The sequence below is a fragment of the Homo sapiens genome, chromosome 12 (genome assembly GCF_000001405.40).
Source record: "Homo sapiens chromosome 12, GRCh38.p14 Primary Assembly".
In the NCBI taxonomy this organism is placed as follows: domain Eukaryota; kingdom Metazoa; phylum Chordata; class Mammalia; order Primates; family Hominidae; genus Homo; species Homo sapiens.
In genome coordinates this window covers 80185150-80211748 of record NC_000012.12, presented here as the reverse complement: position 1 = coordinate 80211748, position 26599 = coordinate 80185150, and the positions used below count along the sequence as shown (strand labels likewise).

The 26599-nt window shown below is 37.8% G+C and overlaps 1 protein-coding gene across 5 annotated transcripts in view; it reads right to left on the bottom strand.

The window, feature by feature from the left end:
• Positions 1–26599, bottom strand: part of OTOGL (otogelin like) — a 281344-nt gene that overhangs the window by 169132 nt on the left and 85613 nt on the right. For 3 of the 5 annotated variants that reach the window (NM_001368062.3, NM_001378610.3, XM_005268802.4), the window contains 3 exons: positions 22295–22405; positions 2239–2336; positions 863–902 (listed from right to left, as the gene is read on the bottom strand). In NM_001368062.3, coding sequence (NP_001354991.2) covers positions 863–902; positions 2239–2317 — 119 coding nt within the window. In that variant the 5' untranslated portion in view covers positions 2318–2336; positions 22295–22405. Of the gene's footprint in view, positions 1–862; positions 903–2238; positions 2337–2476; positions 2536–22294; positions 22406–26599 lie in introns of those variants that run through there. The other 2 variants (NM_173591.7, NM_001378609.3) reach the window with 2 other exon arrangements.

Sequence of the window (26599 nt, the reverse complement as noted above, 5' to 3'; positions counted from 1 at the left end):
AATTCAGAAGTGTCCCCAAATTTCTCCAGTCTTTGATGTGAACTGAATATTAGGAAGGAACTTTGAGATGGAAAAATAAACAAAATAGTGTAACATTGTAGCACCAACCCTTGCAATATTTTCCCCACATGACTTTGCAAATCTAGTGAGGTCAGTATTTGTACCTTCCCTTTGTTCAAACAGTACTTAATTCTCTCCTGTGCTATGTCATAAAGGGCAAGTTAACATTAATGTAAGTAAAAACATCAAATTGCAATTTATCAAAATCAAATGGCTAATAATTCACTAAGGCATATATTTGCTTTATAATGTTTTCTGTTTTTGTGTTATATTTATCAATAAACATTTTATTTTTAAAAAATCAAATGGTGAATAGAATTCTGCTTTTCATTAAGCAGATCAGTTTAGTCCAAAAAATGATTTTCTTTATTTACTGCTAAAACAATTTTTTATTTTTATCATTAAAAAATGTTACTCTGCTAAAAATGAACATAATACATTTGTTATCAATAATGTATATTAATAATAATGTAAAGGATAATATTATGGAATATAACTTATTTTACAAACTTTTGAAATGAAAGTAATATCTTTTTAGTACCAACAGTCATCAAAGACTCCTTTTATAATTAAAAGGAAAAGAAATACTTTGTAATTAAAAGGAAAGGAAATATTTTCATAAATAAGGAAATGAATGCTAGATCATTTTTAATCTGCAGAAATGTTTTTTAAAGTATATTTCATGCTTTTTTGTAAAACATTTCACTTATTTTTTTCAAAAGCAGATATAGTTGCCTGCTGAGGTTTGCTCATTCCCATTAACTTTATGTTTTAGAGGACACGAAGAACAAGAAATACTCACTTTGATGTTCCCATCAATATAGACGATGCACAAATATATTCTGCCAGAGACAAATATATAAGAATGAAAAAAAATTATCCAAATATATTGGCTACATGTTCCAGTTGTTTAAAAGAACATTTTAACCTAAATTCTAAAATTCTGATTGAAGTTTGCTGTTAGTTTTGCATTTTTTAGAGGGATTTGACCAGCAAATTTCCTGTGAGACACTGAATGACTGATAAGCTAAAAAGAAAGGGCAGTGTACATGGATTTACACAGAGACACCATGCAACTGAACAGACACTAGCCTTGGAATCAGAGTTCCAAGTTTTAGTTCTAGTCCTACCACTTACTATATGCCAAGCTTAAACAAAATGCCAAGCACACCATAAAATGATGGTGTTGGACAAGTTATCTGCAAAGTCTCCTCAGCTCTCAAGATTCTGTGACATCGTTCTCCTTGGGGTTTCAGTCACAACTGGAATTGGAAAATAGCACCTTTGACCTCTGTGGTCTTTTATACTTAAGCAATTTCTCCAATTTCCCCTACAAGCTCCAAAGCATACAGACCTTTACAGGGATTAAAAATCAACAACTGAAAATAAATCAATTCTTTGCCCATTTTGTTAGGTGTGATAAAGTGCTTATCTATTAAAAATATATAATATGTATTTCATGAATTTAAAATACTCCAAGAAAAAATGTGTAACAGGGTAAAACTAGTTCCACAAAATGCTGATAGTTATGGAACTGGGTGAAGGCACGTGAAGGTGTGTTATGTCATTTTAATTTTGTGTGTGTTTATAAGCTTTCCATAATAAAAAAAATCAAATAGCAAGAAAATTTATTAATAAAATTACCATAAAAATAATTAAAATCAATTTTTAGCCCCAGATGTTAGTTATTTTTAAACATTTTTTTACTATTCTTTGGGTTGATGGCATGAAGAAAGTTTAAGTACTCAATTGCTGTTTATTATAAAATTTCAAATGTTTAAATTGCAAATAGACAATTATTTTAAATCATCTTTTAGAAGAAAAAAGTTAGAATCACAGCTTCTTCTAATACAATTGCATATCATGATAAAAGCATGATTTTTAACCAGTCATTTAAAAAAGATTCAAGAAATGAAAACTAAAAGGTTCTAGTACAATTGCATATCATAATAAAAGCATGATTTTTAACTAGCCATTTTGCAAAGAGTCAAAAAATGAAAACCAAAAGGTCCAAATTATCTACATTATTAAGAATTTTTTAAAAGGTGATCTGAGTATCATTTAGTACAATTCATTCTAATGACTTCAAAGTGCTTTATAAGGGAAAACTATTTGTATAAATTGTAAGAGAAACAAAAATACAATAAATTAACATAAAAATTTAATCTGAGTTCTTACCTTGTAATGAAAACAGCAGTACATGAAGCAAGAATATACTCCAAGGTATCATTAAATTGAGTTTTCTTACAATGTTCATTTCAGTGTAGCCTTTCCCCCTGAAATGTAACCAAATTGATGGTCTTTATTATGATGGCATCTTAGAAGTATGCATATTTGTAGGGTACTCAAATTCTAATAAATATAGCTATGTAATAAAGTAATTCAAAAAGGAATTCCAGGCTTTCCAACTACATACAGCATCTGAAGCTTTAGAACTTGCAGACAACCCTTTGGCTGAGTCTCTCATTAGTGATGCATGGCAGCTTCTTACCTGAGCCCGTATTAGTTACACCCACACCTGCACATCATAGGCCTTTTTAGCCTATATCAACCTTTTACCTTCTCAAGACAGCAGCATTAAAATAAAAAGAAATATCTCTTGATATCTCCTGAAGCCACAAGAGATAACCATTATTCCTAATGGTTGATCTAATCTTTGCATTTTAGAATTTTATTCATAAAATAATTACTGTCCTTTGAAAAAGGGTGAAATAAAACCCTGTCAATCTTTCCTAGGATGTCTACATGTTCTTGAATAATTAAAAGTTTTCTTTAGGAATTAAAAAGTACACTAAAACTATGTGCATCTATTTTTAAGTCCCATTACAGTATAGTTTAACTTGACATGTTCATGGGCCCACAGATATTTCTGTTAAACATCCTGCAACAAAAGTAGCAATTTTTAAAAAAAGATAATATTCTATACTTGACTTTGAAAAGAAAATAAAGTAACTCACCCAGCCCTGAAAACTTTCCCTTCACACCCTGTTTTTCCATCCTCTGTGACAAATACCCAATTAAACAACAGACTTATTACTTCAGCAATAGGGGCACTATTCTTTAACAGGGATTGACTGCTTACATTGGCATGAGAAAAGAGCTCTAATATGTCATAATGAAATTTATAGATCTGAGCCCCACACCTTAGTGAAAACCATGCTTATATAGTGGGTGCACATTTCTACAGCAGATCCCATGAGTTAACTGCACTATTATCAAAGTCATTTAACAGACCAGTGTGCAGTAGTAAGGAATGTCTAGCCACACAGAAGTACTTTATGAAACAAAAAGGCACAGCAGTTGTTAATATCCTGTTGTACCCAGACAACTCTTCTGCAATGACTTCTGAGTCTTTTCTATTAAGTATTCTTGACATCCTAACTAATGTTACATGGTCCAACATTCATTATATAAACAGTTTCCTGTTTGTGTTCCAAATCCAATAATCATTTACTCTTGCTCTAGATAACCATAATTCCTTTCCATTGCCGAAATAATAGCTAATTCCATGAGCCAACAGATGTTTGTCTATAAAGGAAAAAGCTTAAGCATGAAAATACATCCAAATTTCACTAAAATTATAAAGTAGTTATGTGACTGTCCCCCCTCCAGCACACACACATGTACACACACATTCACACTCATTTTGAATTTTTAATGAATAGGTTTAATTAATTGAAGTACAGTATGTGTTTAATATTATTTATTAAAAGGTTACTAGTCTCTTACTCTTGAACTAATTAGACAATCATATAAATCTAACATAATTAACTTATGTATAATTACATTCCAAATATTAGTTCAAAAATATATATTTACTCAACCACAGGCAAAACTATAAAATATTTTAGATTCTTAAGAATATGTGACTACAAAGTAAATTAAAAGACTAAGGTTGAAATCTGTTTAGAAGACAATACTTTTCCCCAACAAAATATTTTTAATTAAGGGAATTAGTTTATGCAGAATGTTTATTGACTTTTTCTGGAAAGAGTTGAAATGTATATAACCAATATGCATTACTAAGTCCACTCCTCATTTTACAATAGTTTCTCTTGCCTTCACAGTTTCCCATATAACTTAACCTACACTATGAAAAATCTATAAATCATACTTCAGGATTATTTTTCCTAATCTAGTAACTGTTTGACTTTTTGCTTGACTTAAAAATTTCCAAAAGTCAGGGCTGGGCGTGGTGGCTCAGGCCTGTAATCCCAGCACTTTGGGAGGCCGAGCCAGGGGGATCACCTGAGGTCGGGAGTTTGAGACCAGCCTGACCAACATGGAAAAACCCCGTCTCTACTAAAAATACAAAACAAAATAGCTGGGAGTGGTGGCGCATACCTGTAATACCAGCTACTTAGGAGGCTGAGGCAGGAGAATCACTTGAACCTGGGAGGCGGAGCTTGTGGTGAGCAGAGATCGTGCCATTGCACTCCAGCCTGGGCAACAAGAGTAAAACTCCATATCAAAGAAAAAAAAATTCCAAAAATAACAGCCATATGGAAAAATCTCAAGCATAAACCAAAGTTAAATTTTACAGTTCAATAAAATAAACATTTTATAATAGTTATTTCTAACACTACTAGAACTTGGTAAAAAAAGTTAGTAAGCAGCAATGTAAAGTCATGTGAAAATTATGTGTTTCTGATACAAACTTTGGTATTCGTATGTACTTAATTAAAATGTAGTAACTCTGAACTTTTCATCTCAAGTTTCATATAGTATCTTTAAAGTTTTTATTCAAAAGCATCACAGTCATTTTCACTGAATAAAGTTGAAAAGTTCAAGCCTGTATTATTTGATGTTTTTATGACTATTTTTCTATTTTGAACTATATGTATTTAAAAACTGTTAAGTGGTTTTGTCTGGTAGAATTTGACCAGGCACAGTGGCTCACGCCTGTAGTCCCAGCACTTTGGGAGGGAGCACTTCAGCTCAGAAGTTTAAGATTAGCCTGGACAACATGATGAAACTCTGCCTCTACAAAAAAAAAAAAAAATACAAAACAATTAGCTGGGCATGGTAGCATGCTCCTGTAGTCCCAGCTACTATGGAGGCTGAGGTGGAAGGATCGTTTGAGCCCAGGAGGTCAAGGTTGCCGTGAACTGAGGTCACACCACTGCACTCCAGCCTGGCAACAGAGCAAGACCCTGTCTCAAAAAATAAAGAAAAAAATAGTAGAATTTGTAAGAGGAAGCCTCAGGGTTGTTACTATTTTATAGATAGAGCAAGCTTTGGTGTATGTCTTCTCTCTGCTCCTCTTCCATCCAGGCTCATAGTAGGAAAAATGTTAGAAAAGGAGAATGAACAATGGCAAAGAGAACAATAACAAAAATCCCAAGTCCTTTTTCAACTAACTACATTATGAACTCGATATATGAAATGGTAGCCTGCATGAAAATAAGCAAAACAGACTTCCTTAAATAGCTGCAATAGAAGAGAGTTTAGATGAAAGATTAGACTCAGAGCCACAAAACACAGAATTTATGACTGTTGCTACATGTAATTATTACTGTCAAAATGTAATTGACAGCTTTTATATTTCATTCCACCCTGACAAAAGAACTTTGGCAAAAAGTAAGCCAGCCACCAGCTTGTGAAGTGATATTAAGTTCATAAGAAGTCTGAGACAACTACATAATACAAGCAATAAACAGTTCCCTTTCTGCTACAAAAGCACTGCACATTTTCCCACATGGAATATGATCTTTAGAAAGTGACACCTGACAGCCTATTGGCCTCAACCCAACACATTAAAACAACTGGCAAGAATGGGAAAATTTTTATTGAGGAGTATATATGTCAATGATAATAATGGGATATTTGTAATGAAGCTCATCATTTTTGAGGAAAGTTAATTTCTTTGGTGATTTACATAACACTCATTTTTCATCAATTGACAACAAATTTAAAGTAGATAACATTTGACTCCCGTAATATCACATTCTGCTAGTGAAATGCAAATACTCTTTACTTGTGTTACTAAACCTAACACATTTCAAGTTCATAGATTTTATCCAGAATTTATGTTATCATTTGAGCCAGCAAATAGAATCTTGTATCTTTAAAATGATGTTTGCCACTCTGAATGTAACTGTCTTATTACAAGATAGTTTGTAGTATTCTATTTGTGCTTTCTGGATGTGTGTTGCTTGGCAGTTTCTGGGATGTTTCATATAATTTTAGAAGTAGCATCTATCTTACCTTTTCTGAGTAAGGATATGATTATATTTCATAAGCAGTATCTGTGTTGGTCATGATTTCAATTTAACACTCATCCCCAGAAGTTAATGTGTTATGTTTTATAGCGACATTTGTTTTTCAACTTGCTGTGATGCCGTTGATTTGTAATATCTAATTGATACCTTGAAAGAAGTAATGTTTCTTCAACTAAAGTTTTCTCTTGTCAACATTTTAGCATCGAGTTCAGTTTCTGCAGCTATCTTCATTCTCTGAACTACTACAACACTTTGCACTTGTACCATATAGTGAAAATATTAATGTAAGGCACTATTTAATACCATAAAGTTGGTTTCTCATGCTTTGAATTCCTTTATATCTTCAATAATTTTTATGTACTTACTTTAGAGTTGTTGAGAAAGAATGTTATTTCAATTTTTTAGTGGCAGTAGGGGTGGTTCTAATCTTGTTGTTTGTTGTTCGTTTCTCTCACTTAGGATAGATGACTTCATGGATTTTGTAATTTTGAATTTGGGGTCCATGTCTGGCAGGGCATTTTATATGGGAATCCTTTACCACCAAAGTTGAGTATGTTCCCCTCCAAAAAAGATTTTGTACCAACTTCTGCCAAGTGCTCCAGGAAGCTTCATGTTAATTTCTCAGCTTAAGGGTTCACAGACCACAGAATATAAATTCAAATCCCAAACATAAAGTAAAGTAAACCAAGTCCAGTTTCTGTTTTGTTTCTGGTCTCTGGTAATATTCCTTACATTCTAGTGAACTTATTCAACCATTTACATGGTTGACTATTTTATTAAATTCCGTACTTCCAAGTACTTTATACTTGGAAGATTTTTATATCATGTAATCTGCCATATTATTAAAACCAAACCACCAAGCATCAAAAATTACACGCTTTTATTTTCTAGGTTACTTTATATATTTTCTTTCTTACTTTTTCAACTTAATTACAACTTACTTAGCTTACTTACAAACAAACGTTCTTCAAAATAAATAACTGTAAATTTGTAAAGAAAGCGTGCTATACTTGGATCCAATTATTTAAACTATAAAACAAAACCTGTCAAATCCCAAAATGTCGTGATTGGATGACTTCATACAACACCAAGGTTCCAAATCAGACACCTGGCAATCTGATTTATGACAAGAGCCACTGGAGTGTCAAACGTTAGCCTATCATCTTCTGCTTCCCCTATATTGGCAAGATTGATATGGAAAACTGCTTTTGGAGATATGGCATTACTGTGATATTCAACACAGCACAAATCAGTATGAAAACATAACTTAGAAGGAATTATGCCCTTCGTTTGAATTGAGAGTCAAAAAAAGCTTGATCAGCCCACAAAAAAGGTTTCCCCTTTATCTTGACATGACCTCTTCCCATACCCCCAGCGTGAATTAGAGTCTTACTGAGTTACATGCAAAATTGTTATCATTATCTCCCAAAAGCTGCAGTGAAAATATACTAGTTCCCTTGGAAGGTTTTCTTCAGTCTTCTCTTCTAACAAGATAAACTTATCAGCTTTACTGAGAATGCAGAGGTGATTCTTAAACTTTGGTGTGTGTAAGAATTACCTAGCGAACCTATTAGAAGCACAGATTCCCAAACCATCCTTCACGGCATCTCATATTTTCTCATCAAGTCTAAGGGGTTTAGGCATCTGCATTATGATAAAAAGAGAATCTAGCTTCTTGAGAAAATTAAATACTAGTTCATTCTAGTAAGAAAAAGAAGTCCAGGCAAATTACAAATGTGAGAGTGCTGACAGATTCCACTGGAGGGGAAAGAAACAGAGGATGGAAAAATCTCACTACCCGCTACTGAGCAGTTTGCTGTTCAGGAAAATGAAGTAGATGTGTTATTTAATTTTGGTACTCTTACCTCGCTCTTTATGCAAAGAAACTCCTCCCACTCACAGCTTCTGTTCCATTGGCAACACATCTTTATGACCCTCACTATGATTGGTGGAATAATGGTGCTGCCCTCCACCCCCTCAACAAAGATGTCTGTGTCTTAATTTCCAGAATCTGTGAATTTTACTTAACATAACAAAACAGCCTTTACAGATATGATTAAGGATTTCAAGATGGGGAGATTATCCTGGATTATAAGTGTGGGCCAGATAAAGGGTCCTTATAAGTGAAAAAAAAAAAATTTGAAGATGGAAAAAGCAGTCAGAAATGAGGCATACACCTTCTAGAAGCTAGAAAAGGCAAAAACAGATTCTCCACTACAGCTTCCAGACAAATACAGTCCTGCCAACCTCTTGATGTTAGCCCAGTGAAACCTATTTCAGCCTCCTGGTATCCAGATCTATAAGATAATTTTCCATTGTTTTAAGCTATTAAATTTGTGGTAATTTGTTACAGCAGTAAAGAAAATGAATGCATTCACACTCTGGCCACCAGGAATAGGCACTTGATGCTAAGCAAAATAACATATTAGTAGTCCTAACACTTATCTAATTCTCATTCTCAGGTATTGAAATGTAAATCACAGGGATAAAGGTCATGTGTTGACATAAGGTTGTGGGCCCTGGAGCTTTGTGGTCCAGCAGAAGTGGAGATGGCAACTATTTTTTAGTCATGTGCATGCTATTAAATAACCAAAAAAAGAGCTATTCTGCAGAAAGAAGTAGGAGAATGGAGCAGATGTTCAGAAGGAAGCAAAGACAAGCGGTGGTTCCCATGACTACCTCTATCCAGTAACTCTTGGTTCTGTTTCTCTGGAGAACCCTGACTAATAACATGTCCTTCTGCTGAGGGGTACTATGAATTAGATGGGGGTCTACTAATCCAAGGTTCCCAAATCATCCATTTAGACATAGAAAAAAATGGAGAATTGGAATGCATACATGCAAAAAAATAAAGGTACATTTTCCCAGAAAAACCTCCTTGAAAGATACCAGACAGGCTGGGCGCGGTGGCTCAGGCCTGTAATCCCAGCACTTTGGGAGGCCAAGGCAGGCGGATCACCTGTGGTCAGGAGTTTGAGACCTGTCTGGCCAACATGGTGAAACCCAGTCTCTACTAAAAATACAAAAAAATTAGCCAGGCGTGGTGTCGAGTGCCTGTAATCCCAGCTACTCGGGAGGCTGAGGCACGAGAATTGCTTGAACCTGGGAGGTGGAGGTTGCAGTGAGCTGAGATCACACCATTGCACTCCAGCCTGGGCAACAGAGTGAGACTCCTTCTCAAAAAAAAAAAAAAAAAATTAAAGAAAAGATACTAGACAAGAGGACAGATAAAGGTTGTAAGTGAAAACCCGAACGGGAACAGAAATGAAGTGCTGTGAAGTGATCTCAATACCACCAAGCCTTCTGCTGAGTCCAGCTCACTCTTCTGCTATGAGGAGTCAGAACTAAGAGAACCTGTGAGTTAGATTTCTATTAAGTGCTCTATTGGTGGGAGTCAGGGAAACTTCAATGACACAGGGAAGTTCTGACAGGATTGGAGATCTGTCAGGCTCTTTTTGGCACTGAGTGGCTTCAGGATAAAAGCATTCATTTAAGAATCAGATGGTAGAATGCAGACAGCAGCAGGCAGGAATGCTTTTGGATTGATTAGGTTATTATTCCCAGTTCTTCATTCATTGCCTCCCTGACATAGAATTATAGATATGCCTTTGCTCTTCTAGGTACCTTTATTATACCTCCTAGTGAGGTAGAAAAATTATATTTTCCCTGCTTGTTGATGTTTGAATTGGCCAACTGACTTTCTCTGGCCAGTGTAATGATAGCAGGCATAACTTCTGCAGAGGCTTGCTATGTGATTGAGAGTTTTGGATGGTTCTCTTTCATTTATGAAATCCATTAGAAGTATATGTCCTGGGTAGCCACTAGTCCAAGAGAATGAGGAAACATGTGGAGAGGACTCTAATGGGGTTTGGATGTTTGTCCCCTCCAAAATCATGTTTAAATGTGACCTCCAATGTTGGATGCAGGGCCTAGTCAGAATTGTTTGGGTCATGGGGAACAGACCCTTCATGAATCACTTTGTGCCCTCCCTGTGGTAATGAGTTACCATGAGATCTGGTTGCTAAAAGGTGTCTCGCATCTCCCCACCTCGCTCTCTTGCTCCCTCTCTCGCTATGTGACAGTCCTGCTCCCCCTACACCTTCCACCATGATTGGAAGCTTCCTGAGGCCCTCACCAGAAGCAGATACTGGCACCACACTTCTTGTACAGCCTGAAAAACCAAGAGCGAAATAAGCCTCTTTTCTTTGTAAATTGCCCAGTCTCAGGTATTCCTTTATAAAAATGCAAAACAGACCAACACAGACTCCAACCAGAAACAACCTCAAAGAGGTTTCTTTGGCAAGAAAAATAATTCCCCAGGCCTAGAAGAAAGCATCCAGTTCCACTTGCCTCCATAGGTTATGCCTAAGGGCTACTACCTCTGGGAAAACAGATGGGAGGTGCCACAGGGTTGTGGCATCTCTGTAGGCAAAGGGGCACCAATACCTACTGTATTTTTCCACCAGAGCAAAGCTATTTCTTGCTTCTCTTCTAGATTAAATTTAAACATTATCCTTTTGGTGTAGGCGTCCTCCATTGCCAAAGTGTTCAGCCTTCTCTGTGATGTAGATCATTCATACCACTGCCATTTTTCTCATCATAGTATATTATATATTTATTTCTGTATGAGTCCATCTTACCTGCTATGAATTTTTGAGGGCATGACACACATTATAATATCTTCTTTTCCTCATTACTGAACACAGTATTTCAAAAATATTTGTTGACTGAACAAATTAATGTATGCCTCTGCTGTAAGACCCTGGGGAAAGCAGAGTTACCAAAGCCTCTTCTTGCTCAGTGTTTTTGTGCATGTCCTCAATCCAATAGACGAAGCTAACTCCTCCATGTGGATGAATCTAAGCATTGCCCTCCACAGGTCAAGCTAATATATTTGAGCTTGTAAAATGACATCTCCCAAGTTCACAAGCCAAGGGCTCAAGGAGTCTTGGATGAGGGTTCTCAATCATTGAAAAATATCTATTCATTTGTATTATGAATTCAGGTTGCAGTTACAATAGCTTTGAAGATGAAGGAGAAGGGGAGTACAAAAGCAATGGACAAAATCACAGGAATTGCTTCATAGAGAAAAGTGGAACATTAAATATCCCCTCCTTACCTTTCCTTGTTTCTCCATAGTCACATTTATTTGTGGACACATAAACCTAAGGCAGAGCACTATTTCACATCTTAGGAAATTGTGCTCCCACTCTTAACTACTCCTTGGCACTTACAATTTAATTAATTTATATTCCTATTTATCTTTCATGTGTATACCTGTCACTTCTACTAGGTTTATAGGTGATTAAGAGCTGGGATCTTGATTTATGCATCTTTATATTTCCCCACAGGCTCACATGCAGTATTTGACCTAGATTAATGCTTAGTAAATATTGTTAGTGACAATGATGATAATGATGATGCCAATGGTCATCTCCTTTTCCTGATGTGCTTATAGAGCTCAGTGGGAAGGATTGGAACATGGGGTGAAGTGTAATGGGAAATGAGATTAGAAAGGGAGGAAAAGTTCAGATGATACAAAGCCCTATGTTTCAACTAATTTGTATGGACTTGATCCTGTAAGCAATTGAGATTCATTAAGTTTCCAGTGTCATTTTGTTTAAAGCTATCTGATAGTAATGTGCTGCAATTCAGCATCCAGCATCTGGCTTTCCTCCTGGTTTGAGCTACATTGCATGCAGCTGCACACAAATATCTCACAAAGATCTCTTTTCATATAGACAAGAGAGAACAGAGACTCCTAGAAGCAGGCAGAGAGAAAAAGACAAGTGATCATGAAAATTATTAATAATTATTAATATAAGTTCTGAGATATTTATTATGAGTAAAACCATACATTAGATGGTATGAATTCTATACAAATAAAACTTACACAAATCATCTATTAAACTAATTCAATGGGCACTATTATTCCATTGATAAGCAGAAGAAATAGCTCAATGAATAAGATGGCCTCTCTCTTCAAAGATTACAATTCAGTGAGGAAAACAACATTAAAATCATGATAAAAATAATCATTCAACTGCAATTGTGTGTTATTAAAGAAAAATACAAGATGCCCTGAAAGGGCCTTGCAGGAAAGGGGAGGATCTAGAAGGTCTTCTAGGAAAGGGTTTTAAACTGAGAACTGGAGTTAGCCAGAGAACCAAGATTCTACTAAGCAGAGAAAATAGCTTATGTCAATGTTTTAAGAAGGAAAAAGCATGGTAGGTTTGAGGAAATAGAAGACCTACTGTGACTGGAGCAAAGTAAGCTAGGGAGAGAATTGCACAAGGCTGGGATGTGGGTATAGCAAAGTGAGGTCATTCAAGTGCTTTGGGCCATTGTAAGATTTTGAACTTCATCCCAATAACAGAAGCTAAAGGCAAGTTTGAAGCAAAGGAGTAATATAAACAGGATTGTGTGCATGCATATATGTACACATATACAAATATATTGCACATAAATATGCACACGCATATTACAGGTTATGTATATTTTAATTTCAAGATCACTCAGTATTCAAGGAGAACAAGGCTAAATGGAGGAAAACAGCCACAGGAAACCACTGTAGTTCACAAGAGATGATAGCTATTTGGTCTAGGATGGAAGGTATGGAATTGAGAAAAGAAACTAATTCAAAACAGATTTCAGAAACAGAGTAATAGAATTTGCTAGTTAATCAGGCATGGGGCATGAGGTGAAAGAAGATGTAAAGGATAATGTTTTCTGGCACAACTAATTAAGTTGATGGTGATGTCATTTACTGAGATAGGAAACATCAGAGAAGATTCAGGTTTGGATAGATGTGAAGTCCATGGAGAGTTGTTTTGTTTATTTATTTAGAAGGATACAGGTTGTTATTATTATTATTATTATTATTTGGAGATGGAGTCTTGCTCTGTCGCCAAGCTGGAATGCAGTAGCATGATCTCGGCTCACTGCAGCCTCCAATTCCTGGGTTCAAGCCATTCTCCTGCCTCAGCCTCCCAGGTAGCTGGGATTACAGGCACGTGCCACCATGCCCAGCTAATTTTTGTATTTTATTAGAGATGGGGTTTCACCATGTTGGCCAGGATGGTCTCAATCTCCTGACCTCATGATCCGCCTGCCTCGGCCCCCCAAATGCTGGGATTACAGGCATGAGCCACCGCACCCAGCCAGGTAATTATTTTTAAACTGATAGGAAGCTTACCACAAATAGGGAGATATTGAAGACACAGATAAAAGAGGATACTCAAAAGAGAACCATTCTTGAACAGCAGAAGAGACTTCTCTGAAAAAGCTTCTACTCCAGGGGGTGAGAGAAGTTAAGCATATGTAACGGGGAGAATATTTTAAGTATATCAATATGTCCTTCTCTTTTGCAATTTCTTGTGGCCTGCTCCCACAAATCTTCCTTGGGGATTTAGATGATTTTGGCCAGAAAACAAAGAGGAAGAAAGGAATATATAATAATCAGCTTCAAACATACAAAATGAAGTATTTTACCTGTAAAAAAAAAATAGAAAGTTTGAAAGCCAAAGAAAGAAATTTTTATACTACTTATGTCCCCCTTGTACATATTAAGAGGAAAGATTGAGGGACTAGATCTTAGGGTTTCATACGATAGAGTCCCCAGTGAGGAAAGAGGAGAATGGAGTTCAACCCCATCGCTCACATCCAGAGGGACTGTGGGAAGGAGAAAGATGCCACCACACGCCTCTGCGGGCTGCCTTGGAGAGCTGAACTCGACTCATCTCTTTGCTTATCCATACTTTGTTTCTGCCATTAGAGTGCCTTTTGTGGAATCGGCTTTCCTGCCTCTGCTTCAGAGCTGTAAGAGGGCCTCTGAATTAAGAATCACCTCGGTAGCAGAAGTCTGCAGGCTGAATAGCATGGTCAGGGATTCATAGACAGATTTCAGTGGTGTTGACAAAAATAGCCGAACTCTATAAATTATTTAAAAAGATTTATTCTGGCCAGGCACGGTGGCTCATACCTGTAATCTCAGCACTTTGGGAGACTTGAGGTCGGGAGTTCAAGACCAGCCTGGCCAACATGGTGAAACCCTGTCTCTACTAAAATGCAAAAATTAGCCGGGCATGGTGGCAGGTGCCTGTAGTCCCAGCCACTTGGGAGGCTGGGCCAAATATGAGTGACCATGGCCATGACACAGCCCTCAGGAGACCCTGAGAACAGGTACACAAGGTGGTTGAGACAAAGCTTGGTTTTATACATTTTAGGGAGACATGAGCCATCAATCAAATACATTTAAGATATACATTGGTGCAGTCCAGAAAGGTGGGACAACTTGAAATGGCGGGCTACCAAGTTATAGGTAGATTTAAAATTTTTCTGATTGGCAATTGGCTGAAAGAGTTATTATCAATAGAAAGGAATGCCCAGATTACATAAGAGGTTGTGGACACCAAAGTTGTATCATGCCAATGAAGCCTCCAGGTAGCAGGCTTCAGAGAAAATAGATTGTAAATGTTTCTTATCAGACTTAAGGTGTGTATTGATGTTAAGTACTGGTTGGCTTTTCCTGAATTATAAAATGGAGGAGGGCATAATGAGGCATGTCCGACCACCCCCTTCCCCTCATGGCCTTAACCAGTCTCAGGTTAAATTTGGAAGGCCCTGGCCTAGAGGAGGAAATCCAGTTAGACTTCTCACAAAGCCAGTAAGAGCTGATATAGAGCCCTAAATCATCAGAGAAAATAACTGGAACAAAGCAGGGGTTACAGTGGCTTTCATCAGCAGCTGCAGATATCAGCAGAGCCCTAGGGAGAAGACCATTTGTATAGCAAAGGTCCTCAGCCTAAGGAGAAGCCCAGAGCAGACACCTGCAGCAGAGACCAACATGCCTCCGGGGAACGATGTCCAGGTGGAAGAACCAGTCTCCCTAAGACAGACAAGAACAAGTGAAACCCCCTCCACTTCCCACACCTAGGGGCCAGCAGGCAAAGGACTGGAATTCTGAAAGACATTTACCTAAGTCATCCAAACAGAGCAGTGAATGACAGTCATAAGGTCAACTACAGAAAAATAAAAATAAAAACCTAATTGTTCATTGTACATCTTAGTGTAGCGTTAATAAATCTGAGACCCCGTCTACATTTATAAATAACAATATTATCACATCAACAATGATAGATGTCATGTAAGGTGCATAGTTGAAAGGCTGTAGATAGGATAACTGTCCCTGGGAAAAATTGCATTGACTGCATTTTAAACAGAGGGTACAAATTAAGCAATGGAGAAAAGGAGGGGGACTGTAGCTCAATGTTCATGGATACACCAAGGCTCACAGACACACCAAGATGCTCCCCATCTCATCCACCTGCACAGCAAACACTAGTGGCTCCAGAATCCACCTCCAGACCCCACTCACTTATTAGTAGAGAAAGAGCCAGATTGAACTCCCAATATTTGAAAGATGAAATCAAACCTTCAAGGATGATTTTTTGCATACCAGCTGGGCTGGACAAGACAGGCATGAACAGGCATGAGAATGTATTCATGATTTTAGATGACACAGTTCTCAAGAAAATCCCCTTTTTTGTTATGTTCAGTGATATTCTGGTAACCGTTTAACAACCTCCACTGGGGAAAGGGGAGGACCCTACTTTGTAGTGTTTGCAGATGTCCATGGTATAAATACTCCCACTATGGCCAATTTTAAGCTACTAATGTGATTTCAACCGGCTCACAAAATTCCTCCAAATTTAATAATGGGCATTCAGGAGCCACCAGGAGCTGGCTCCAGCACACCACTGTGACCCTTAAAGAGCCATGATAGGGCATTGTCTATATCAAAATCTAACTTGAGTGGGCCCCACAGACTGATAAGTTTTTACCTGGACTTCTATCTGAGTAATACACATTGTGATCTTCAAAAAGATGGCTCATTAATAAGTCAAATATTAGGCTGAATTAAATCATATAAGCTTCATTCTACTAACCAGCCTATTTTAACTCCTTGTCTGCCTTCATTCTACTAACCAGCCTATTTTATTTTTATTTACCTTGTGTATAGGAAATTGATTTCCCTTTAGCATGACCTTATATTCCATAAAGTAATCATTCTTCAATTGAGCTAGGAATCTGCCATTAACAAGTTGCTTTTTGCAAGTACAGAAAAGCCCTCTGCTGGCTCACTACTGAACGTCAGTGTGCATGCTCTCAGGCTGTTAACCATTCTTTTCCCTGCCTTGCTAAGCTGAGCCAAACTGCAAATTCTGTCTTAAAATGCTATTAAGATAAGAATGGCCTGTTTCTAGTAGATTTCATTGTTGACATATGAGACTTTTCAGTTTATAAATCACATAATGTTGAATCATTCCAAAGATTAGTTATAATAGCCTAAAGAAACTTATAAACATCAAGCTCCCTTTTAAAAATTGTATTCTGAGATATTAAAAAGGGAGAGAGGGAGGGAGGGTCCACTTGCTGGGTACATTAAAAGGAATTACATTTTTTTAAAATGAGGCTTTTGCAACACTTTTTCTAAGTAATAGGGTTAAGTCAAATGCTTTTTGAGAAGGAATTTGAAAGGGAAAAAAATTGTAAAGAACTCATTATTCCACTGTTATTTTAGTCTGATTCAAATATCATATGGCTTGTGGCTTGTACAATGTTTCCAGTTTGGTATTTATTTGCCCCTTTTCTGATTTCTAATAGGAAAACAAGCGAAAGTTTATTTTTTTAAATTTTAATATTTAAGATAAATCTGGGCAAAATAAATCAGTATTACTTTTATAATCAGAAAAAATAAATGTAAGTGCTACATTAAATATATTTTAGAGCGCTCTCTAGTATAATGTTATATAATGGAAAACTTTTTCTCATTTAGTCAACAAATGTTTATTACAGCAGTATTGTCAGATTCTTCTTTCTATAATTGAAAATTTGTCATGACTCAAAAGAATTAGAGCATAATATTCTGATTATGTTTTTGGTTATGGGATTAGAGTGTGTTTATTTTCCCTATATGAATAAGTCTTATATTACTCTTGGTGACTTATGGTGATTCTGTTGGGTGATTTAAATTTGCAATTAGAAGGTCTTGCTTCATTGATGGGCTAGGGAGTTTCTCAAGGTTCTTTGGTTGCAAGTATCGGAAGAAACTAACTCTGCCCAAGCATTAAGCAAAAAGGGGAATTATTGGGTTATTGGAGATCCCACAGAACTAGCAGGAAGGTTGAAGAATCATACTTAGTAAAATGAATATTAGGCTATCATCTAAAATAAATGAATTCCAACTGTTTCATATTTCCTTATAAAAACTCTGCTGAAGATCTGAAGTCCCTCGAGTGCCTGACTAGGTCACATGCCTAACGTTTGGCTATACAGGAGTATCTAGGGACCCCTCGGCTTCCTTTATTAGCTTTCCAAGATTCCATACACTTGGAGGAGTATAATTCCCAAAAGAAAATCAGTGTTGTTAGTCAGAGGCAGCTAAAACAACAAAGGTCCACTACACTGCTTATCCAATTTTGTTCTGTGCCATCACTAACTCCACTGATACAACAGAATGACAGCTACTTCTCTGGGTCTTGGCATCTTCTTTTGTAAAATGAGGCGGATGTGTCAGATGACTTCAAGCTTTCTATATTTCACATTCACAAATCCAATTTAGGCAGACACTGAAACCATCTTTGGAAAATGTTTCTGTCTAAACAAAAGGACTTTCCTTAACCCTTGTCATTCTCAGTCCTCACCATTCCTCCCTCTCAGTTATACTCACATCTTTAAAGAACATCCATAGCTTCCTGGCTCTTGCACATGTACCGCAAGCCTCCAAAACTCAGTGAATCTCACTTGGAAAACTTTTAAATCAAATGCATTTTACTCCAGCATATATGAGGATAAGTTACATTGTCTGAAATATAACATTTCCTTCATCAAAGAATGGATATTCCCAATAATATATGCTAACCTTATTATTATTATTATTATTATTACTTTTAGATGAAGTCTCACTCTGACACCCAGGGTGGAGTGCAGTGGCACAATCTTGGCTCACTGCAACCTCCAACTCCCAGGTTCAAGTGATTCTCTTGCCTCAGCCTCCCGAGTAACTGGGACTACAGGCATGCACCACCATGCCCAGCTAACTTTTGTATTTTTAGTACAGATGGGGTTTCACCATGTTGGCCAGACTGGTCTCGAACTCCTGACCTTGTGATCTGCCCACCACAGCCTCCCAAAGTGCTGGGATTACAGGTGTGAGCCACTATACCTGGCCTGCTTACCTTATTCTTAAGAATAAGGTTCTTTAAATTATGTTCTGTTTAAAATGAAGTTCTGAAGTTCCTTTCACAAAAATAAGAATTCTTTGTCTTAAAGAAAAAGCCTGCTGCTCCATCTAGAGGACATTTTATATTGTCCAATTGAAGGGACTTAGGGAGCCTAATCTAGATGTTCAATGTTCCAAATCTTGCTAAAAAATTCCACAATTTTCTCAAATTCAACTGATTCGGTTTTTTTTTTAGTATTTTCAATGAGCCCATACTATGTAAGAATGAAGAGGATATTTCCCTCATCTCTTAGTTTCAGCCAAAGATTATCTGAGTAGTAACCTTTATTTTTTCATGAAATATTTGGGTACATACTATATACTCACGGTACTTACTTCTGGGATTTTTATGATTTAAAAAATGATTTCTAACAACCACTTACTAGGTCTTAATCATTTTCATCAATTATCAGAATTTTTTTAATTTGACGGTATTTCCCCTAAATATACGAAGACATTGGACAAAAATACTCATGTTCTTTTTCACTTAGAATTACACAGCATTTTTCTCCAAAAAGACTTGCCTGTTAAGAGAGCATGCTATTTTTATTTTTAGTGACCAGAGTGGCAGTTGGGTAATGCTTCACAGCATCTTGGAGAAAATTCCTTTTTTTATGTAAAATCTAGGACCTTATTTTAGTGAAGCAATGTTTCCAGCATGGAAATTCACTTTTAACCACATGGAGGGCAAACATAGCCTCTATTTTCCCACAAACTTCTGTGAGAAAGTCAGATCACACGGTGAGAGCAAAGAAAGGGGGCTAGGAATAAGAAGCTGGAAGAGAATTCCATGGGGAGGAGGGGTCCCTGCCTGATCTTAGGCTATGGCCATCTCAGTCAGGGCAGGGTAGTTGACCATGACCGGACCAGCAGGCGGGGCCCCTCCTAGAACTGCACTGGTTTTGTCAGAGTTAGAAAATCAACCACACAGCAAAGTGTATGAGAACAGAAACAACTGCTGAGCAGAAAGTTTTGCTCTGAGGTCTGACTTGTCCTACTGATCTCATCAAAAAGTTTGCCATATGTCCTGTAGGTATTCAAGAGTGACAAAACAATGTATCCAAACATGGAAGTTACACAAGTCAGGGAAAGAAGAGGAGGAAAACAACAACAGTGGTTAGGATCAGTCTTGATACCTCTTTCACAATGTTCTACATATTCTTGAGATGAAAATACGATTCTTCTAAGGGATAGCTAATGTAATAACTTATAAGTGAATATGGATTTCTTGAAAGCAAAATTGAATGAAATATCGCTTAGAATTCTAAGTGATATTTCAATAAAATATAAATCTCATCTAATGCACCACAGTATGTAAAGCTGGTACAGCAGTCTCTAGTTCCTCTCTTGCCATTCACAAGAGAGCGAGATGATTTGTCCAAAGTCAGAGAGCTAGTGAGCAGCAAAGCTGAGCCCAGGACTGCCTTACGCTTGCTGATCCCCAGCCATCATTCTTTCTGTTACAATGTAATTGGTATAACACTAGTTTAACACCACCTGTTGTCAATAAATTCTCAATATTCTGTCCCAGTAAGAGGCCAACTGTTTAAATATTGCATTCTTATTTTAAAGGACAAATAACAGAATAAAACTTTATAAAATGTAATCATATTTGGTTATTTTGAGTAAATGTGAATATATTAAGAAATACAGTATATGGTTTATAAAAATTCACTTAGCTCGTCTCTGCCTTGTTCCAAAACATTATCTGGACAGTATTCAATAATTTTATTTTTTTTATTTATTTATTTTGAGGCCTTGCTCTGTCACCCAGGCTGGAGTGCAGTGGCACGATCTTGGCTCACTGCAACCTCCGCCTCCTGGGTTCAAGCGATTCTCCTGTCTCAGCCTCCCGAGTAGCTGGGATTACAGCTGCCCACCCCCGCGCCTGGCTAATTTTTGTGTTTTTAGTAGAGACGGGGTTTGGCCATATTGGCCAGGCTGGTCTTGAACTCCTGACTTCAGGTGATCTGCCCGCCTCAGCCTCCCAAAATGCTGGGATTATAGGCATGAACCACTGCTCCCAGCCAGTATCCAATAATTTTAAAGTCACAATATGAAAAATAAATTTGAAGATGTCATATGGCCAGGTTTGATCTATCCTAGAAGGTAAAGAGAAGGTGGTCTAAGGCCTATGGGTTACACTACTCCTGTCTGTTCCCATCCCACTCCTCTGCAATAACAGAAAGCCTAATCAGTGAATTCGCCTGCCTGAGGTGGAAAGGTTGGCCTTTCCCTGTTAGCTGCAACATTATTTAAATTCCTCTGTACCACTCTGGGAAAAGCATGAACTACAAAGTAAAGGAAGAACTATTTTTAAAAAGAAACCACTAAGGATGCTAACATGAAACAAAACTTGGATTCACTCTTTTTTTTTTTTTTTTTTTTTTTTTTTTTTGAGACGGAGTCTCACTCTTTCGCCCAAGCTGGACTGCAGTGGCGCTATCCCGGCTCACTGCAAGCTCCGCCTCTTGGGTTCACGCCATTCTCCTGCCTCAGCCTTCCGAGTAGCTGGGATTACAGGCGCCCACCACCACGCCCGGCTAATTTTTTGTATTTTTAGTAGAGACGGGGTTTCACCGTGTTAGCCAGGATGGTCTCGATCTCCTGACCTCGTGATCCACCCGCCTCAGCCTCCCAAAGTGCTGGGATTACAGGCGTGAGCCACCGCGCCCGGCCTGGATTCACTCTTAAACTGAGATGTCAGTGTTCACTTTGCCCACGGTTTTGGCAAAAGATAAAGCTGTGAATAGGTTCTTCCCAAATGGCAAACAGTGATTTGATACCAGTGATATCTTGGTGTCCAAAAGAAAAGGTAGAACTCAGCTTTAATTATTTTGTTGTGCTTCTTTGAATTTATTTTATGGCTTCTAAGCATTAAAATATTTTAAAATTGTGCTAATTAAAATCTGCGTTTTACCGGACTGGGGAAGCTCTTTCATCTATCAGTTAAGATGCACAGCACATCCTGTTCCCAAACAAATGACTCAGCAAGTATCAGTGATAAGCATGCATAAAGCAGCCTAAAAGTCACATCCAAATACAATTTGCTATTAATGCCATCATGTGCCAAAATAAATCATAAAAACTACTGCATTGCTATGTATCCTAATTAAAATGCAATATCTGTAATATTTCAGCCGGCTACAAAAATGGGGCCGGAGATGCTGTGGTCAGGGTCAGGAGATCCTGTCAACCTATGTCTCCCACTTCCAGTCACCCAAGCTACCATGGAGGTCTAGTCAAGTCTGACAAAGTAGAAACCAGTTTGGAGTGAGTCTTCTTATTACATCCAGCTGTTTTCTGTCCCTCCAGAGCTTCCTCCCGTATAGCTAACTGATTTCTTGGTTTCACTTCAAATTACTCCTGCGCAAAGAAGACCACCCTAGGAGAAAGATGAGAATCTGTAGACCTGCTGTCCTTGTGAATGATATGCTCCAGGTGCATCAAATAGTCATTCTCAAACTTAGCCTGCATATTTCGATTTATCTTGGAGAGCCCCATCTAGGCCAATGAAATTCTACTTTCTAGGTATGGGGCTCAGGCATTAGTGTTAAACTGCCCCAACATTCAGTAATATGAGTTTTGCAATCTATCTCTTTTGGTCTTTCAGATAACTATATTGTCATTTCAGAAGCTTCCTAGAAATTCACTTCTTCCAAGAAATGAATTAGTACTAAACAATTTTTGCTAAAGGGGGCAGGAGAAGTTAAAGAAAAAAAAATCCAACCTCATTCTTATGAGACTTGACAAACTTCCCAGCTGCTTGGGTCTTGTTTGGTCAATTGGTCAAAGACTGGATTCTCTTTGTTTTACTCAGAGGCATGCTTGATATCCATGCCTAAAAGAAAATAAACATTAAGTTAAAGACAATGTTGAGTAAAAGATTATTCAACTGGGATTCACAAAATCTGGATTATGTTTAGCAGTTAATAGTTGTGGGACATGGGACCTTGAACTTAGCTCTCCATGTTTCATTTTCCCATCAGAAAAATGGAATCCTATACTTCCTTCTTCCAAACTCTATTAATCTGAGTATCTATTTATGATACATTAACCAAAAAGCCTTAAAGGATGCACTGTTCTTCACATTGCCAAAAAATGGTGGAGTAGACTTTCTCCCTATGCACTCACACAAAGACATTAAATTAGAGGGAAACATGGACAGGAAAATAATACAAGAGACATCTGAGAAGTAATGAAGATCTAAACCAAAGGGAGGACAGAGAGAACGGGAGGATGACACCTGAAGGGAGAGACATGGCTAATTATAAATTATAAAATCCTTAGAAGATTAAAAACAGATAAAATAATTAAAGCAGAGCTGTGGGAAACTTTACTCAAACAAAAATACTGAAAGGTCTGTGGAGGATCGATTGTTTATGATCCTATTCTCTAGAGACTGAAATTCTTTGGATATACCAGATGGCTTTATTTATATAACAAAAGCTCAGCTCTAGTGAGGTGCTGCTTGCAAATTCACATACAAATAAAAGAAACTGTGTTTATGTTTGTACATATCCTTGCACATAAGAGGGAGTTTCCTTTGTTTTTTATGGACATTTGAACAAATTTTATGCTTATAATGCTAAAGAGAAGGCTCACCTTTTTATATTTATTTATTATTATTATTATTATTTTTTTTTTGAGACAGAGTCTCACTCTGTCGCCCAGGCTGGAATGCAGTGGTGTGATCTCAGCTCACTGCAACCTCTGTCTCCCAGGTTCAAGTGATTATCCTGCCTCAGCCTCCTGAGTAGCTGGGATTACAGGCGCATGCCACCACACCCGGCTAATTTTTGTATTTTTAGTAGAGATGGGGTTTCACCATGTTGGTCAGGCTGGTCTCGAACTCCTGACCTCGTGATCTGCCCGCCTCGGCCTCTCAAAGTGCTGGGATTACAGGCATGAACCACCGCTCACCTCTTTTTAAAAGGAACAGCAGCCTCCCAGTATAGCCAAGTAATCCCCAGAACATAAAATTTAACACAGAAAATTTTCTGACCTTTGTGGATCTTCTCTATCCAAGTGCATGACAAATATTTATTTCACTCCTCAGTGTTCATATTCAATCCTATCTCTTCAAATAACATCATTGACAATTAAAAAGAAATCTCAACCCTCTCCCCAAGTGAATATTTCAAGCTGCATCCTGTGTCAACTCCTGGCACTGAGTCAGCCTTGTCAGCCCAATTTAGAGCACATGGCAGTAATCCAATTCATTGTGGCTGTTTGTGGTCCCCAGATCAGGTTTCAAAAACGAAGGGGCAGCAATCCGGTGACCTTCTCAAGATAGTAGAAAACAACTCTGGTCATGACTGACACTTGATCTTTCTGCTAACATTAGCTCCTAATCAAAGATGGTGCCAAGCTTGTATCTGACACCAGCCCACAAACCTTTCTGTCCTCCTCCAAGAGGTGTGGGCATCCTGTCACCCACTGAGTTTCAGTTTTGGAATGACTGTCCCTTTCAGATCCAAGGAAGTCTGATTTTATTGACACTTGAGATAAAGCTCAAGGCCTGTCTTAATTGAGCTTTCCAGTTATTTATAATGCATACATATTTACTATTCATTGTCTTTATACTTAGTGAGGTTCAATGTGATTAGTAATAAAGATGTGGTTATAACTTTATAAAATTAACAACCCCAGAATATTCATATTGTAATCAGGAGATGGCATCCACTCGGAAGCTTTTTTCTGTGCACCTCTCATCCTGTCGTCCTTTCTTAAAAATGTATTACTCTTCCTGGGCTTCGTGTCATCCTTCCTCCATATTTCTGCTGGATCTTCAGGACTGGCTCAGGTATGGCCACAGATTGGCCCCAGCAGGGTCTGCAGAAGTAAACTTTACCTCCTAGGCCAGGCCCTATTTTTCTTACTTCACCAAATACTAAGTATCGGTATAAAAAAAAAAAACAAAAACAACCTGGCCACTTGCCTAAGTCGTCCCTAAATCAGGAAGCTGTTCTTAATGTGAAGAGGCCTTTAGGGAACCCTGTTGTTTTCTCATCCCTTACCTCTTATATAAAAGTCCGTGTTGAGGCCTGAAGATTCTTGGAGCTCTGGATGTGTTCAAAGTAACTACTGGCTTTGCCCCAGCTCTGAGTTTACACATAATATATTATCTGAATTAGTCGAGTTCCAAGTTTTCTATACAGAATTTTATCTTCTTTCTATCTCCATAAACAAACAATCTTTGAAGCTAGATAATATGGGAAAAGAGGATGGAATCATTTCACCCTGCCTTGTTTGTTTCCATGAGGATTCTAACCCAAAGGAAAAGATGAGTCATTCAGCATCATTTCCTATGTGGTGCTTTGGACTCTGTGCTATCTTAGCCAAAAGAGGGCAGCACTCCATGGGTTTTGAATTCACAGGAAGCAAAACTTCAAACAGTTTTTAACTGAACTCTTAAGCAAGGCACTGTACTCTATTACATGGGATAACACAGATTAATAAGACCTCCCCAAACAAGCAGGAACAGGAAAGGAGAGAAGAGTTGGGGAGAGCAGTTAAAACATTGCCATGTGTTTGGGAGTGGTGAGCGATACGTCTGAAAATAAAGAATGGATGAGATCGTGAGGGTCCCTTGACGATTAGGCATTTATTCTTTATTTGAAATGCAGTGAGGAGCCTCTCAAAGTTTTTCAACAAGTGAATCATATGATTAGAACTCTGTTTGGGGAAGATACATGTGTTAGGGATGCATTAGAGAGATTGAAACAGGGAGACCAAAGAGCAGAGGGAAACATGGACAGGAAAATAATACAAGAGACATCCGAGAGGTAATGAAGATCTAAGCCAGAGGGATGGCAGAGAGAAAGGGAAGATGACACCTGATGGGAGAGACGCGGCTAAGTAGGAAAGATGGACTTTAATGGACTTGATATAGGGAGAAAGGGACCAAGATAAACCCAGAGTTTCACATCTCAGACCTGGGCATATGGTAGAGCCTTTAACCAAAATTAGGAAGAAAGAAAAAAACAACTGTTTTGAAGCAAACATAATGAATTTGGTTTTGAACACATTTTCCCTTCAGAGAGCGTGAGATGTGACTAAGTTGCCAAGATATAAGGGGTAAAAGATAAAAATATAGGAAGGGTATGACTTTAAGGACACCCTTGGAAAAGAAGCCCTAAATGCTTACCTGAAAGCCCAGTGCTGAATATATGGCCCACTTGCAGGTGCAGTGTTGGGCCTTAGTGGCCTGTGTTTCTATATCTTCTTGATCTCATCTAACTCTTCTTATTTGTCCCTTTTTTCTAATATTTTTATATTTGTATCTTATGTAGTGCCACCTCAAATCCTTTTGTGAATAAATTAGAATAAGCAGCAATTAATCAATCCTGATAATTACATTTTTCTATATAGACTTTAAGATACAGCCATCTTCAGTAAGCACATAGGACCCATGTGTAAAATGCAGATCACTAATATTTACTGAAAACTAATATGCTAGGCAGTAAAGTAAAAGTTTTATACACATCATTTCATTTTATATTATGATTAACAAAACAAGATTATGAAGCAATGCCATTATTATCCCTTTTTACAGATGAGGACACTGAAACACAATGACATTAACACTAATTTGGCCGGGTGCAGTGGCTCACACCTGTAATACCAGTACTTTCGGAGGCCAAGGTGAGTGGGTCACTTGAGATCAGGAGTTCAAGACCAGCCTGGCCAACATGGCAAAACCCTGTCTCTACTAAAAATATAAAAATTAGCCAGGCGTGGCAGTGCACACTTGTGATCCCAGCTACTTGGGAGGCTGAGGCAGGGGAATCGGAATCACTTGAACCCAGGAGGCAGAGGTTGCAGTGAGCCAAGATTGCACCACTGCACTCCAGACTGGGCAACAGAGGGAGACTCCTTCTCAAAAAAAAAATTAATTTATAATATAGCAGAACTTACATTATAACCCAGGCAGCCTGACCTCAGAGCCAGTGTACCTAACCACTATGCCTACTTCCTCTCTGTTCACATTGCCTGTCTCATTATACCAGCCCATTTTCCTGATTCCTCTCTA